At 42.8% G+C, this 15,716-nt stretch overlaps 1 pseudogene; it reads left to right on the top strand.

Moving 5' to 3' along the window:
- Positions 13,226-13,913, top strand: COX5AP1 (cytochrome c oxidase subunit 5A pseudogene 1; annotated as a pseudogene).

The raw sequence follows: 15,716 nt of genomic DNA, 5'->3' as shown, positions 1-15,716 counted from the left end.
TTGTTGTTGTTGTTTGTTTGTTTCCTGCAATGACACCTACTCATTTGGAGACTTTTAAGATGATCTTTAAGTGTGCCAATTAATTTACCTTCTTTCAGTTAGTGTACATTTGGTTTCTTTTTTCTTCAAGAGGTTTTTGGTTTTTTTGTTTTTGCTTTGTTTTTTGTTTTTTGTTTTTTTTTTTTGAGACAGAGTCTCACTCTGTCGCCCAGGCTGGAGTGCAGTGGTGCGATTTCGGCTCACTGCAAGCTCCGCCTTCCGGGTTCATGCCATTCTCCTGCCTCAGCCTCCCAAATAGCTGGGACTACAGGTGCCCGCCACTACGCCAGGCTAATTTTTTGTATTTTTAGTAGAGACAGGGTTTCACCGTGTTAGCCAGGATGGTCTTGATCTCCTGACCTCGTGATCCACCCGCCTCAGCTTCCCAAAGTGCTGGGATTACAGGCGTGAGCCACTGCACCCGGCCAAGAGGTTTTAAACAATTAATTTATCAGTACCAATCCATTTATTCAAGCTCGTTTTGGTTTATCTTCATTATATCCAATTGTAAGTTCCCACCATCTAGGCTTGCTTCTTCAAGAACGGCAGCCTAATCTCCCACTTTTAGCACATGTTCACCCAGGGGCTTGCTTTTTATCATTTAGTGCTTGTCCCTTGTGGCTGGGCGCAGTGGCTCATGACTGTAATCCCAGCACTTTGGGAGGCCGAGGCAGGAGGATCACTTGAGCCCAGGAGTTCGTAGACCAGCCTGGGTAATATAGGGAGACCCTGTCTCTACAAAAAATTTAAAAAATGAGCCGGGCGTGTGGGTGCACAGCTGTAGTCCCAGCTACTTGGGAGGCTTAAGTGGGAGGATTGCTTGAACTGGGGAAGTCAAGGCTACAATAAGCCAAGATTGCACCATTGCACTCCAGCCTGTGCAACAGAGCAAGACCGTGTCTCAAACACAAACAAACAAAAAGCCTTGTCTCATGCAATTTAGAGTTTCTAATTTTTTTTTCTGTTAGATAAGGTAATTTACTCTCCCATTCCACTTTTCACTTTATGTTTTCTTTTTTTTGTTTTGTTTTGAGACAGAGTCCCACTCTGTCACCCAGGCTGGAGTGCAGTGGTGCAATCTCGGCTCACTGCAACCTCTGCCTCCCGGGTTCAAGTCATTCTTCTGCCTTAGCTTCCTGAGTAGCTGGGATTACAGGCGTGTGCCACCAGGCCTGGTTAATTTTTTGTATTTTTTTTTTTTTTTTTTTAGTAGAGATGGGGTTTAGCTATGCTGGCCAGGCTGGTCTCAAACTCCTGGACTGAAGTGATCCACCCGCCTCAGCCTCCCAAAGTGCTGGGAATATGGGATTACACTGTTAACAACGGACGCCACCACGTCCAGCCCTTTATGTTTTCTTGAAAACCAGAATTTTCATCCAAAGCATCTTTTAGTGCTTCTGAATTTGTTTTCATTCTTGTCATGTATTTTGAAAGCTGTTTTGGTTGCAACTACTTGAAGTTGTACGTGTTTTGATGCATCTTCTGAAGACTGAATCTTTCTTTTAATGTCAATCATACCTCAACTTGTTTTAAATGTTCAGATTTCTCTTCTATCGGTCCTTTTCTCAAACTCTTTAAGCCCAAGAAAAGAGTTGAAAATTTCCAGCTCTTTATTAATGGCCTCCAGTTTTTCTGTTTTTGATCATTTGTTCTCAAATGTGACTTCTGTTAAAATTATTCAAGGTCTCTCAATTCCTTTTTTTTTTCTTCTTGAAGTGGATTCTTTATTTTGCCTTATTACTGGGACCACTGATGAAATTTAATGAGATTTCAGGATTAGATACCGCTAATTACCAATGTTAATTCCCTGATTTTTTTGTGATTAAATAGGAGAGTATTCTACGTAAACCCCCGAAAATATTTGGGGGTGGGTGATAGGGCATCACAAATAGTGATTACTCCCAAACAGTTTAAGATTTGTTTTGTTTGTTTTTTGTTTTTTTGTTTGTTTTGTTTTGTTTTTGAGACAGAGTCTCACTCCTGTCACCCAGGCTGGAGTGCGGTGATGCAATCACGGCTCACTGAAACTTCTGCCTCCCAGGCTCAAGCGATTCTCCTGTCTCAGCCTCCCGAGTAGCTGGGATTACAGGCATGTGCCTCCATATCCAGCTAATTTTTGTATTTTTAGTAGAGATGGGGTTTCACCGTGTTGGCCAGGCTGGTCTTGAACTCCTGACCTCAAGTGATCCGCCTGCCTCAGCCTCCCAAAGTGCTGGGATTACAGGCGTAAGCCACTGCGCCCAGCCAATATTTTTTTTTTAAAAAAGGTTTCTGGTCGGCGCAGTGGCTCACACCTGTAATCTCAGCACTTTAGGTGGCCGAGGTGGGTGGATCGCAAGGTCAGAAGCTCAAGACCATCCTGGCTAACACGGTGAAACCCTGTCTCTACTAAAAATACAAAAAAATTAGCTGGGCATGGCAGCAGGCACCTGTAGTCCCAGCTACTCGGGAGGCTGAAGCAGGAAAATCGCTTGAACCCAGGAGGTGGAGGTTGCAGTTAGCTGAGATCGCACCACTGCACTCCAGCCTGGGCGACGGAGTGAGACTCAGTCTAAAAAAAAAGATTTCTGTGCTGCACTTGCAACTTTAGTGTAAGTTTCAAGTTAAAAAAAAAAAGATCTTTCTTTTTAGTGCAGTTTTTAGGTTCGCAGCAAAATTAAGCAGAAAGTACAGAGAGTTCCCATATACCCCTGTTCCCACATATGCACAACCTCGACCACTATCAACATCCCACACTACGGTGATACATTTGTTACAACTGATGAACCTACATTGATACATCATTATCTCCCAAGGTCCATAGTTTACATTAGGTCTCACTCTTGGTGTTATATATTCTTTGGGTTTTGAAAAATGTTTAATGGAATGTATCCACCGTTGCAGTATTGTACAGAATAGCCTCACTGCCCTAAAAGTCCTTTCTTTGTGTCCTGACTATTCACACCTCTTCCTCCAATCCCTGGTAACCACTCATCTTTTTACCATCTCCATAATTTTGCATTTTCTAGAATGTCATATACTTGGAATCATACGTATTTAGCCTTTTCTTTCCTTTTTTTTTTTTTTGAGACAGTCTCTGTCGCCCAGGCTGGAGTGCAGTGGCACAATCTTGGCTCAGTACAACCTCCGCCTCCCGGGTTCAAGCAATTCTGTCTCAGCCTCCCAAGTAGGTGAAATTACAGGTGCCCGCCACCATGCCCGGCTAATTTTTGTATTTTTAGTAGAGACGAGGTTTCACCATGCTGGCCAGGCTGGCCTCGAACTCCTCACCTCACGTGATCCGCCCACCTCAGCCTCCCAATGTGCTGCGATTACAGGTGTGAGCCACTGCACCCAGCCATAGTGGCCTTTTTAAAATTCTTCTGAATGAGGTTAAGATTGTAAAATATTTAATGTCTTTCTCCAGAAGGGCAAAAGTGGCCAGTTATTTGTCTCTACTTGCATAAAGTAGACTTCTAATAATTAGAAATATGACTAGGAATACCACCATTTTCCACAGCAATCCATGAGGACCTGGGCCTGGGATGAGGTACCTGGTTATGCCTCCACCACCTGGCACAGTGTCCCCAGGACAGGTGTGACACAGCATCATCACCATCACTCTGAACCCCTCAGGTTGCCAGGACACTGCCAGCCACATCAGATGCAGAGAGCACCAGTGAGCATTGCACCTAGAACCAAACCAGAAGCTGGCAACAGGCACAGACCTCAGTGGAAGCAGGGGAGGGAAGCCCATAAAACGCTGGCCAAAAGCTCTTCCTCTTCTGAGTACATATTTCATTCCGAGGCCATGAGGGCTTTATTCTGCCACAAAGGTCAAAGAAAACTCCCCATTCTCAGCTCCCTCCTTGATTTTTGTCTAGCCTTTGAATGTGAATGGGGCAATTTACTGGAGGAGTCATACAAATGGTTTCAACTTACTTCACTACTTTTAACTTTAAAAAGCTAAGGATAAGGCAGGGCGCGGTGGCTCATACCTATAATCCCAGCATTTTGGGAGGCTGAGGAGGGCAGAAAACAAGGTCAGGAGTTCGAGACCAGCCTGGCCAATATGGTGAAACCCTGTCTCTACTAAAAATTCAAAAAAAAAAAAAAATTAGCCGGGCATGGTGGCGCATGCCTGTAATCCCAGCTACTCAAGAGGCTGAGGCAGGAGAATTGCTTGAACCCGGGAGGCAGAGGTTGCAATGAGCCAAGATCTCACAACCGCACTCCAACCTGGGCAACAGAGTGAGACTCTACCTCAAAAAAACAAAACAAAACAAAACAAAAAAAACCTAAGGACAAAGCAAGTGGTACTTTCAAAGTCTTCACATTTCTAGAATGTGGAGTCCAACTGTGATCATGGAAATAATTAATAATTCTCACATGTTTCCTGCATGTGGGGTGAAATGTTTGATGACAGAAGCCCTTCAGGTTGCTGCTGTTCAAAATAATAATCTGAGGGGGTATTGAGTGCTGGAGGGATCTCCTCTCTCTCACAGAGGCAAGAGTATTGGGCCACCTGAGCATCTTTTCAATGTGGCACCTGAAAAGTGCCAGTCTCCAGTCCTGGAGCCACGACTGGTCCAGTTCAATGAGTAGCTCTATCTTGTTAACAATGAAACTGTGGCTCAGCTGGGGATTGGTTGATTTTAACTGGGTAGGGATGAGTAAGTGTGCTGACCTCAGCTGGCTTTGCTCATGTGTCCCAGGGTTACCCGGAGGTCCGCTGATCTGGGCTAAGCTGGGCAGCTCTTCTAATCTCAGCTGGACTTGCTCATGTGTTTTGGGGTCAGCAGGGGGTCAGCTGATGTGGGCTGGGCTGGGCAAGCTCAATGTATCTCTCGGTCAGCTGGGAGTCAGTGATGTATGCTGGCCCTAGCTATGCACTGGGACCTGCCTTACCTGTCTCTCATCCTCTTCCTAGAACAACAGGAGAGCTCACTCCTGACTTCCCTTGGCTATAGCAGAGGCACAAGAAAGTCTTTGGAGGGTAATGATCCAATCTGCATTTTTGAAACATTTTCTCTGGCTGCAGGATGTCAGCAACTATTTTGATGGCCTTTTGTCTCCATGAAGTCCTCATCCTCAGAGAAAGAAAAAGTTATCTGGAACTGGGATATAGAGTAAGTGCAGATGTGAATGTCCATTGCTTCTTTGGTTTCTGTGGTTCACTTCACCGGCTCCAGAACCACACCATCTTTGCCAGGATCTGCACCTGCAAAATGCAGGCCCTGTACTCTCCCTCCTTCCCCATGTAACTCCATCTTGAAACAAATGCTTGAGTCTAGGTAGTGGAATCTACATCACTCGTATGCACCCTAACAAGAAGGAAATCTTGGAAAGGGAGTTTGGGGTTCTACATTGAGAAGGCAGGATTTCTACTGAGGAACTATGATAACGAAGATAGACTATTTGGAAGATTTCGGGCAGCTGCGAATGACAGATGTTCATGACAGTTGCCGTACTTGTCTCATGTGATCTGGCTACTCAGGACAAAGCTGCTCATCTATAGACTGGACATAAAGCAAAGCATTGCCATTTAAGATGGCTTGTAGCAGAACTCTGCCCAATAGGAACAGAGAAGGATAAACTGGCCCAATTTAATCCTCTTTCAGGGAATCTGAAAGTGAGACATACAAAGAGGGTCAGCAGTGAGCAGGCAGAGAAAGTCAGGTTACAAGAATGGGAGTCAGACAAAAGTAGGAAGCAGAGCGACACCATCATCTGAGTTACATGCGATAGTTACGAAACCTGCTATGGTGTCACTACATTTGCCACAGTATCTGGACTAAGATTCTAATTTGATGTGGAGCCTGATGTAGAACTCCCATCACATCAGACTTGAAAACTTCTCTGCTCTTGTAATCTATAAAGATCCAACCCACCGCACCCACTAGAAAAGATAAAACACAATATAAAGCAGCAAATTCTATGTCCAAAGGTTGCCCACCAGATTTGAGCTCCTAAAGGGGCCGTGTGTGGTTAATTTGTGTATCATGCCCAAGCATCTAGTACTTTTGGGAAGCACTCAGGAGATGGTCGTTGAAAATTGAAATGAGGGTTTTAGCAATACGTGCTATGGGATTCAGAGTAGAGAACAATCACTGTGATAACTGTAGTGCACTACATATGCTGGGTTTATCCTCTCACCACAGATCCATAATCTGCCTTTCCTCTGCCCTCCTCTGTATCTTACAAGGATGATTTCCAAGGTCTGCATGCCCTGTCCTCCCTTATTCTGTGGCTTCTTATTGGGAATGGCCAAAGAGAAGCACTGCTCCTGGTAATGGGAAGAGGGAAAGAGGAATTGGTTTCCTACCACCCTCTATGGCCACAGGTACTGCCAGGTTGTCTCTTTTCCACAGCTGTAGCTGCCCAGTCTCTGGTGACACCGTGCCTTTCCCTTGTCTCTTCAGGCCTGCAGTGGTAATAGATTTTAGCTGTCATTAATCCCTGGGTACTTTACTAGCCTTTGATGGGTCTCTCAATCCTGTCCACCCCTCTGAAAAGAGTCCCTCTATTAAACTCTTCAGTGAAACCCATTAAGTGTGTCATCTATTTCTAGCCAGCACCCTGACTGATACATTGTATTCATATTCCAAAAAGGAGGGAATAGTTCTGTACTTGTCCCCAAGTAGTCTTACTGCCTGACCTTACCAATTAGGGCAAGTTCACACAGTCTGAAAGAATGTACAAAACAGCCTTTTACTTCTAGCACTGGAGATACAGGAAACTCCTGTTTCTTCTAGTAGTTTCTACTCCCCCAGATTCTCTCACTGAGGCCAGGTCTCAGTCTCTCCTTCTCCCATCCCCTTCGCAGAGAAGCCTCCTCCCCTGTAATCTCCCTCTCTCTCTCTCTCTCCCCCTCCCTCCTCTCTCTCTCTCTTTAATCTCTCTTTCTCTTGACTCCAGGGACCCACTACTCCTGGTGCTGACTGTCAGTCTTTGGACCTGGTCTGGTTTTTCCAGATGGGGTTGGGGTTTCCAACACTGGAAGCTCAAGGTAGAAGGATAAAAAAGAGGCCTTCTTGGTGGTCTGCCCTCAGATTGTGGTGTCTATAAAATAATCAGATGGTTTTAACAGGTAAGATTAAACATCCTGTAGGTATTTCCTGCATTTGCTGGAAGGTGTGCGAGACAGCTGGGTGTCTTTGATTAGGTTGACTCTAGGAAGAGAAAGGGAAAAAGTGGAGAGCGGACCCCCATCTTACCACCTTAGGAACTATTTCTTTGAGGCTGGGTGCGGTGGCTCATGCCTATAATCCCAGCACTTTGGGAGGCTGAGGCGGGCAGATCACAAGGTCAGGAGTTCGAGATCAGCCTTGCCAATGTGGTGAAACCCTGCCTCTACTAAAAATACAAAAATTGACTGGACGTGGTGGCATGCACCTGTAATCCCAGCTATTTGGGAGGCTGAGGCAGGAGAATCGCTTGAACCGGGAAGCAGAGGTTGCAGTGAGCCAGATCGCACCATTGCACTCCAGCCTGGGCATGGCAGTGAGACTCTATCTCAGAAAAGAAAACAAAAAGCCAAAGGAAAAACAAAGAAACTGACTCGGGCTGAGCTTTGAAAAAGAGATAAAATTAGGCTGGGTGTGGTGGCTCACATCTGTAATTCCAGCACTTTGGGAGGCTGGGATGGGTGGATCACTTGAGTTCAGGAGTTTGAGACCAGCCTGGGCAACATGGTGAAATTCCATTTCTACAAAAAACACAAAAATTAGCCAGGCATGAAAATTAGCATGGCACAGTCCTGTTGTCCCAGCTACTCAAGAGGCTGAGGTGGAAAGATGGCTTGAGCCTGGGAAGCAGAGGTTACAGTCAGCTGAGATCATGTAACTGCACTCCAGCCTGGGTGACAGAGTGAGACATGAGACCCTGTCTCAAAATATAATAATAATTGAAAAACAGATAAGATTAAACATGTAAGAGGACAGAGGGCATTTCACAAAGAGGGAGCAAAGAAGGTGGGCAAATATAGCATTTGGGAAGAAATTGGTACACCACTTTGTCCAGTTGATGTAAACAAGTAGGGGGAGATGGGTTTGGAGATCTAAGTAAAGAACCAATTTGGGGGCCTTAAGTGCTAGGATAAGAGATTTAAGAAGTCTTTAAAGGTTCTTAGCAGGGCGGTTTTTCATAATTCACATATAAAATGAGTTGTAAGGGTAGATAAAATGACAAGTTAAAAAATAAACACAGTTATTCAGATGTGAGATTGTGAAGGGCTATGTCCTAGTAGTGGTCCTTGAAAACTTTATAGAAGAAACTACACTTTGCTTATGGGCTAAATGTGGTAGAAAAGGAAAAGTAGAAGATAAGAATGACCTCAAAGTTTTAAAATTGAAAGATTGAGAGAATAACATGCTTAGGTAAGAATAGAAAAACTTAGAGACAGCTATTAATAGTTTTGGATGAAAGATTTCAGTTTGAGGTGTACTGCCTTTAGATCACTACAGTGCCTCCTAGTGGAGTTGGAAATGGAGGCCTGAAACACAGTAAGGATTGGAGACAATTGCAAAGGTGATTATTTGAAGTTATGAGTGAGTGACACCTCTGAGAAAGACTTCACATTAAATCTGTGGGTCAAGAACTAAGCTTCGTCATTTGCAACGGCATGGATTTACCTGGAGGACATTATATTAAGTGAAATACGCCAGGCACAAAAAGAAATACCACATGATCACATTCATATGTGGATTCTAAAAATTTGGAATACCGAAAAGCAAGAGTGTAGACTGATGATTGCCAGAGCTGGGAAGGGAAATGGGGAGATGTTGGTCAGAGGACACAAACTTTCAACTGCAAGGTAAAAAAGTTTGGGGAATCTACTGTAGAGCACAATGACTATAATTAACAAAACTGAATTGCATAATTGAATATTGCTAAGAAAGTAGATTTTCAGCGTTCTTACCACAAGAGAATGATGTGTATGAGGTAATGCATGTATTAATTAGCCCAATTTAGCCATTCCACAATGTATACATATTTCAAAACATCATACTGTACACCATAAATATATACAATTTTAATTTGTCAATTAAAGAAATAATTTTTTCATTGGAAGAACATACAAGATTTTTAAAAAATGAATTTAAAAAATAAGATGTAAAAAACAAAACCAAAAAACTACCACCTTTCAGGAGATGGAGAAGAAAACAGATTTGTGAAGGGAGTCAGTACAGAAACAATTTGAAAAATGGGCAAAGAAAAAGGTAGAGAAATGAGACAGTAGAGAAATGAGACAGCATAAGAAAACCAAGGAGTGATTTTTCAGAAAGGGTAAGCTTCACATTTGAATTTTAACACAGCCATCGCAGCCTTTACAAAACCATCCTTCAAGATTTAAAAAATAAAATCAGAGAATAAAGCAATGGGACAAACTGTGTGAAAAAGTTGTGTTAAATTGGGACAATTTGAACATGAAAATAAATAAGACTGGGTGTGGTGGCTCACACCTGCAATCCCAGCACTTTGGGAGGCCAAGGCGGGAGGATCACTTGAGCCCAGAAGTTCAAGACCAGCCTGGACGACACAGTGAGACCCCCATCTCTACAAAAAATTATTTAAAAAATTAGCCAGACATGGTGGCACATGCCTGTAGTCCCAGCTACTTGGGTGGCTGAGATGGGCCCTTGAGTCTAGGAGGTTGAGGCTGCAGTGAGCCGTGATTATACCACCGCACTCCAGCCTGGATGACAGAGTGAGACCCCACTCACACACGCACACACAAAAAAAAGATAGCAAAAGGTGATCACATACTGAATAAAATAGGAATCCACTACAGTTGTGTTCAAACTGGTCAAAAAAATTTAAAAATACTACCTAAAAATGTCAATCTACATTATTAAACATTGATGTAATCCTGAAGACACTGGAAGGTATATCAGTTATACGACCTTGGTTACAATGAACAGAAAACTCAATTGAAATTGGCTTAAACAATATAACTGGATGATTGTTGGCTCATTCTCTGAAAAGACCACAAGTTAGGCAGGTTTTAGGGTTGATCGAATCTAAAGGAAAACACCCACAATTCTTTTATTTCTACCTTCCTCCACCAGCCAGCCACATCCTCAGCCTGATTTCTCTAAAGCTACATGCTTCCGTGTTTATAGCTGGGCTACATCCTTCCCTAAGAGAGGGCGCCTCTTCCAAACCTACCATGATTTGTATCTTAGGGAACCAGCCACTGGGGCTAGGGGAAGGCTATAAGCTGACTGGCTTAGGCGCTCATTACTGAACCGACTACTACGGCCCTACCCCGTACATTGAAATCACCCTGAAGGGCACTAAAGCAATCAGGAACTGCCTCTGGATGTGGGGTGAATGGCCAGTCTCACTCAACTTTGAGACTGGTTAGGTAGGATCTGCAGATAGATACTGAATGTATACATTAGGTTGTGATTGGCCAAGTCAAAATATCAGTGGCTTAGCTGGGCATGGTGGCCTGCACCTGTGGTTCCAGCTACTCCAGAGGATTAGGTGAGATCTCTTGGGAGGTGGAGGCTGCAAAGCACTAAGATTGTGCCTGTGAATAGTCACTGCTCTCCAGCCTGGGTGACAAAGCGACATGCCATCTCTTAAAAACATCCAGTGGCTTTTGAGTTTTCTGAAGTCTGGAATTTTGCAGTCCGGATAGATATGGTAGCCCTGCCCCATAAAGTTATTTGGACCCAGGAGCCTCCTTCTAGCTCACCACCCTGATGACATTCCTTGGGTAGAGCCTAATTCTCATTATGCAAGGCAGGATTTCTGCTCCAGGAAGCAGGATGGAGGAAGTGACAAAAAAGGAGTACAGGGGGCACATTTGAAGGAAGGTTCCCAGGAGCTGTCAGCATCACTACCCTTTATCACATGGCCATACCCACCTGACAAGTAGGCTAGGAAATGAACTTTTCTCTTTTTTTCTTTTTTTTCTTTTTTTGAGACAGAGTCTCATTCTCTCGCCCAGGCTGGGGTACAGTGGCGCAATTTCAGCTCACTGCAACCTCTGCCTCCTAGGTTCAAGTGATTCTCCTGCCTCAGCCTCCCAAATAGCTGGGATTACAGGTATGCACCACTACCACCTGGCTAATTTTTGTATTTTTAGTAGAGACAGGGTTTCACCATGTTGGCCAGGCTTTTCTTGAACTCCTGGCCTCAAGTGATTCACCTGCCTCAGCCTCCCAAAGTGCTGGGATTACAGGTGTGAGCCACTGCTCTCGGCCGGAAATGAACTTTTTTCTGAGGTGGCCATTTGTCTGGCTAAACATTCTATTACTGTGCAATGCAGGGGATATAAATACTGGGGGACAATAGGCACTTTCAGCAACTTGAATAAATGAACCTATTAGAATTGATTGATCTAAACCTAGGTGACAAAATTAGTAAATTACATAGGAGAGTAGTTATTCATTTATAATCTGTCAAACAGGACAGGCGAGATGAGAAAAAATCCCAATTCAGAGGAATGAAACAATGAAAAGGGAAGAATAAATGGTAAGTTAAAATAACTCTGTTTATATACCGTTTCTGCCACCTAACAGTTGGGCAATCTTTAACAAGTTGCATAGCTTCAATAAGCCTACGATCTGTGTGTAAAATGGAGATAACATCATCTACTCCACAAAGCTGGGAAAAGATTGAGATAATATTAGGTTCTTTGTAAACAATAATGCTCATACAGATCAAAGTTATTATTAGTAATAACAAAGCTTACAATGATGTAGTAAATATTTTAGAAAACACTGATTGAGTTAAAAGTGATATGAGACTTTTGTTATCTTTTAAAATCACTTTTTAAAAACATAACTGAACTTGTAGTTAATTTTTTTAAATTCTCACTAATTTTTTTCCTGCTGGTCAGGCCTCATTTGTTAAATTGTATATCCAAAAAGCAGTTGAGCAAATATTCTCACTGTATCATAACAAACTCATGAAACACAAAGCCAGAAACTTCAGATTAAAAAGAAATTTTAATTCCAATATTATAATATACATTCATTCTATAGCAAAATAAATTTCACAAAATTATGATAAATTAAATCAATGGAGTCCCAAATTTCATACATAATCTCTTTTGCATAAAGAATAGGAATTAGTTTAGAAAAGGGTCTCATTGGCTTTGTGTAGTGCATTTACAAGTTATAGTGGGAAAAGCAAAGGGGCTAGTCTCATTTCTACTACACAATGGCCTCCATGTAAGGTGATGTCTTGGTCTGCAAGGCAGCCATAAGGTCAGGAGATTGGTTACATACAGGGAGATTAATTAAGTGAGTGTATTGAGATGAGAGCCAGAGCCAGGTTTTTCTCTGTCACAGAAGGGAATTAACAGTTCGGAAAGGGTGAAAACTAAACCTGGAAGCAGTGATCTCCTAGTAGCAATGATCACACCCAGCACCCAGATGGAGGCTTCTGAATACCATTCTCCACTAACAGAATCCAGAAGTCCTCGAAGAAATGGTTGATTTTAGGACTGGAACAAGGACAGTACAAAATGTTCCTGGAACATCTTGTTTGTCACGAAAGTAGGAAAGCAATGAAAGAATGATGAGGACATGTTAGAAGGAGAAGTCCTAGTTTGAAGGGCTCTCATTAGCTAAATCTGGAAAAATTTGAATATCAAAATAAATGATAGCAACAGATTATCGTCCATTGAATAAAACAGATAAGGGAGAAGGGAAAGGTTTTGTTTTGTTTTTTTTTTTCTTTAAGAGACAGTCTCACTCTGTCACCCAGGCTGGAGTGCAGTGGCACAAGTATGGCTCACTGCAGCCTCGAACTCCTGGGCTCAAGTGATTCTCCTGCCTCACCCTCCCCTGTAGGTAAGACTACGGGTATGCACCACCATTCCCAGTTAATCTTTTGATTTGTTTTCTTTTGTAGAGATGAGGTCTCACTATGTTGACCAGGCTAGTTTTGAACTCCTGGCCTCAAGCGCACCTGCCTTTGCCTCCCAAAGTGCTGGAATTACGGGCATAAGCCACTGAGGCAGGCCAAGGAAAACTTTACCTTATAATAGAATGCCAACTAATAAATGTAGAAATAATAATGTAATTAGAATAGCATCGTTTGTCAACCATTATAGTAATAATTGATTTAGGTAAGAACCAATAATGGATGCTAAAGCCAGTGGCGGGGGTGCTGGGGAATGTGATGAAGAACACGATATTCATATAACATAAAAGTAGCTCTCGCCGGCCCCCGCCAGCTGCGGAGCAACCCGCGAGCGAGCTCACACCGGTTTCTCTCCATCCTCAGCTTGCGCGCCACCATCGCCGTCGTGCTGGGGCCGCTCTCCACCGCTGCGCGGTGACTGCAACCGCCCGGGCCGGCCCTCGAGGCCTCCTGCATTCCGCCCCAACCCCCGGCCCCGCCGCGGCTATCCAGTCAGTTCACTGCTATTCCCATGGGTCACGAGACAGATGAGGAGTTTGATGCTCTCTGAGTAACATACTTCAACAAGCCAGATATAGATGCCTGGCAATTGCGTAAAGGGATGAACACACTTGTTAGCTATGATCCGGTTCCAGAGCCCAAAATTGTTGATGCTGCTTTGCGGGCATGCAGACGGTTAAACGATTTTGCTAGTGCAGTTGGCATCCTAGAGGCTGTTAAGGACAAAGCAGGACCTCATAAGGAAATCTACCCCTATGTCATACAGGAACTCAGACCAACTTTAAATGAACTGGGAATCTCCACTCCGGAGGATCTGGGCCTTGACAAGGTGTAAACCCCATGGATGGGCTTTGCAAGGATTTATTGATATTGCTACTTGTGTGTAAACAGTTACCTGGAAATACTGATGATAATATATACCTTATTTGAACAAGTTTTCCTTTATTGAGTACCAACCCATGTAATGGTAACCTGGACTTTAATAAAAGGGAAATGAGTTTGAACTGAAAAAAAAAAAGTAGCTCTCCACAAAATACCTATTAATAACTTTTAACCTAGTAAGTACAAAATACTTATTAATTAATTTTACAGTGAAGAAATTCAGCAGACACCATCTTAACCAAGTGATAAAAGTCAACCCTGATAGAAATAGAACAAATTACGTTGTTGCCTTCTGATGCTGCACTGAGAAGAACATAGCATCACTTCTGTGGTACGCCTCCATAAAAACCCACTACCAACAAATAACCTGAATCTAACCATGAGAAACTTAAGGCAAACTCAAGCGTAGGGACAGTCTACAAATTAATTGCCTGTTCTCTTTTAAACGGTCAACATGAAAGACATGGAAAAACTGAGGAATCTCCAAGTTGAAGGAGGTTAAGAAGACATAACAATTAAATTCAACACATGATCTTCTATTGGTTCCTGGGTCAGAAAGGAAAGGGTGATTATAAAGCACATTATGGAGACAATCAGTGAAATTTGAATCTAGTCTGCAGATTGGATGTTAGTATTGTATTAATTTTAATTTATTGATTATAATGATTTTACTGGACTTTTATATGTTTTATATACAAAATGAGAGAGAAAAAGATAATATGGTAAAATATTAATTGATTAGGGAATCTAAGTAAAGGATAAAGAGAAGTCTCTGAATTATTCCTGCAATTTGCTGTAAGATTGAAATTATTTTAGAATTATTTTTTAAAAGCATAATGTATCATATAAAATATATTAAATTTCAGTTCCCTGAAAGTTATAGGGCTTCTAGAAACATGACAGTGAGAGCATGGTTTTGGATCTTCTCAAACCCCCTGCATATGAACAGAGAAACTAGACAACAAAATTAAAACTCAAGGATAACATTTACAGCTAAAGAAGATGGCAAGGCATCCCCACAAACCACAGAATAGAAGCATATGGGGACACACCATCGTCAACCACAAGACCTGCATGATGTTGGAGTGTGTGTAAGAGACAGGAAAGGGAGCCCATGAGACATTTGATAGAGTGAGAACAGGAGAATCCAAAGAGCAACAGCATTCACTGGAAAGCACAATGGGTCAATCCATGAGTGGCAACTGAAACTGGTAGGGGTTTTGCCCATTTTAATTGCAGAAGAGCACAAGGAAACTCAGTAAGACCTAAAGGGGTGGGGACATTCTAACCCCTCTGAATTTACAATACTGAATGTCCAAATCTCACTTCCAGGACACAGCTCTGAGAGAAACTGCTGGGTGTGGGATCAAAATTGATCAAGATAGGGACAACACATAAAAAGGAGATCCAGGCCGGGCATGGTGGCTCACACCTGTAATCCCAGGATTTTGGGAGGCCGAGGCGGGTGGATCACCTGAGGTGGGGAGTTCGAGACCAGCCTGATAAACATGGAGAAACCCCGTCTCTACTAAAAATACAAAATTAGCCAGGCATGGTGGCGCATGCCTGTAATCCCAGCTACTCGGGAGGCTGAGGCAGAAGAATCACTTGAACCCAGGAGGCCCGGAGGTTGCAGTGAGCCGAGATCGCGCCAGTGCACTCCAGCCTGGGCAACAAGAGTGAGACTCCATCTCAAAAAAAAAAGGAGATCCAGATAAAAAGTAAATAAGGAGAGCAGAGCCAGGAAATCTCAAAACTGCAGACAGTTATATATTTAAAACTTTACACAAAAGCGAAGAAGTACCTCAGTGATGTTAGCAAAATCTATCTGAACCTAGCCACCATTAGAAGTTCAGAAAAACTAATTTTACTTAAGAACGAACAATAGAAAAATACTAAGGTCAAATTCCAAATTTACTAAAAGAAAAAAA

This window comes from Homo sapiens, chromosome 14, assembly GCF_000001405.40.
Source record: "Homo sapiens chromosome 14, GRCh38.p14 Primary Assembly".
Lineage (NCBI taxonomy): Eukaryota > Metazoa > Chordata > Mammalia > Primates > Hominidae > Homo > Homo sapiens.
The sequence above is the reverse complement of the archived record's forward strand: the minus strand, read 5'-3'. Positions and strand labels throughout refer to the sequence as shown.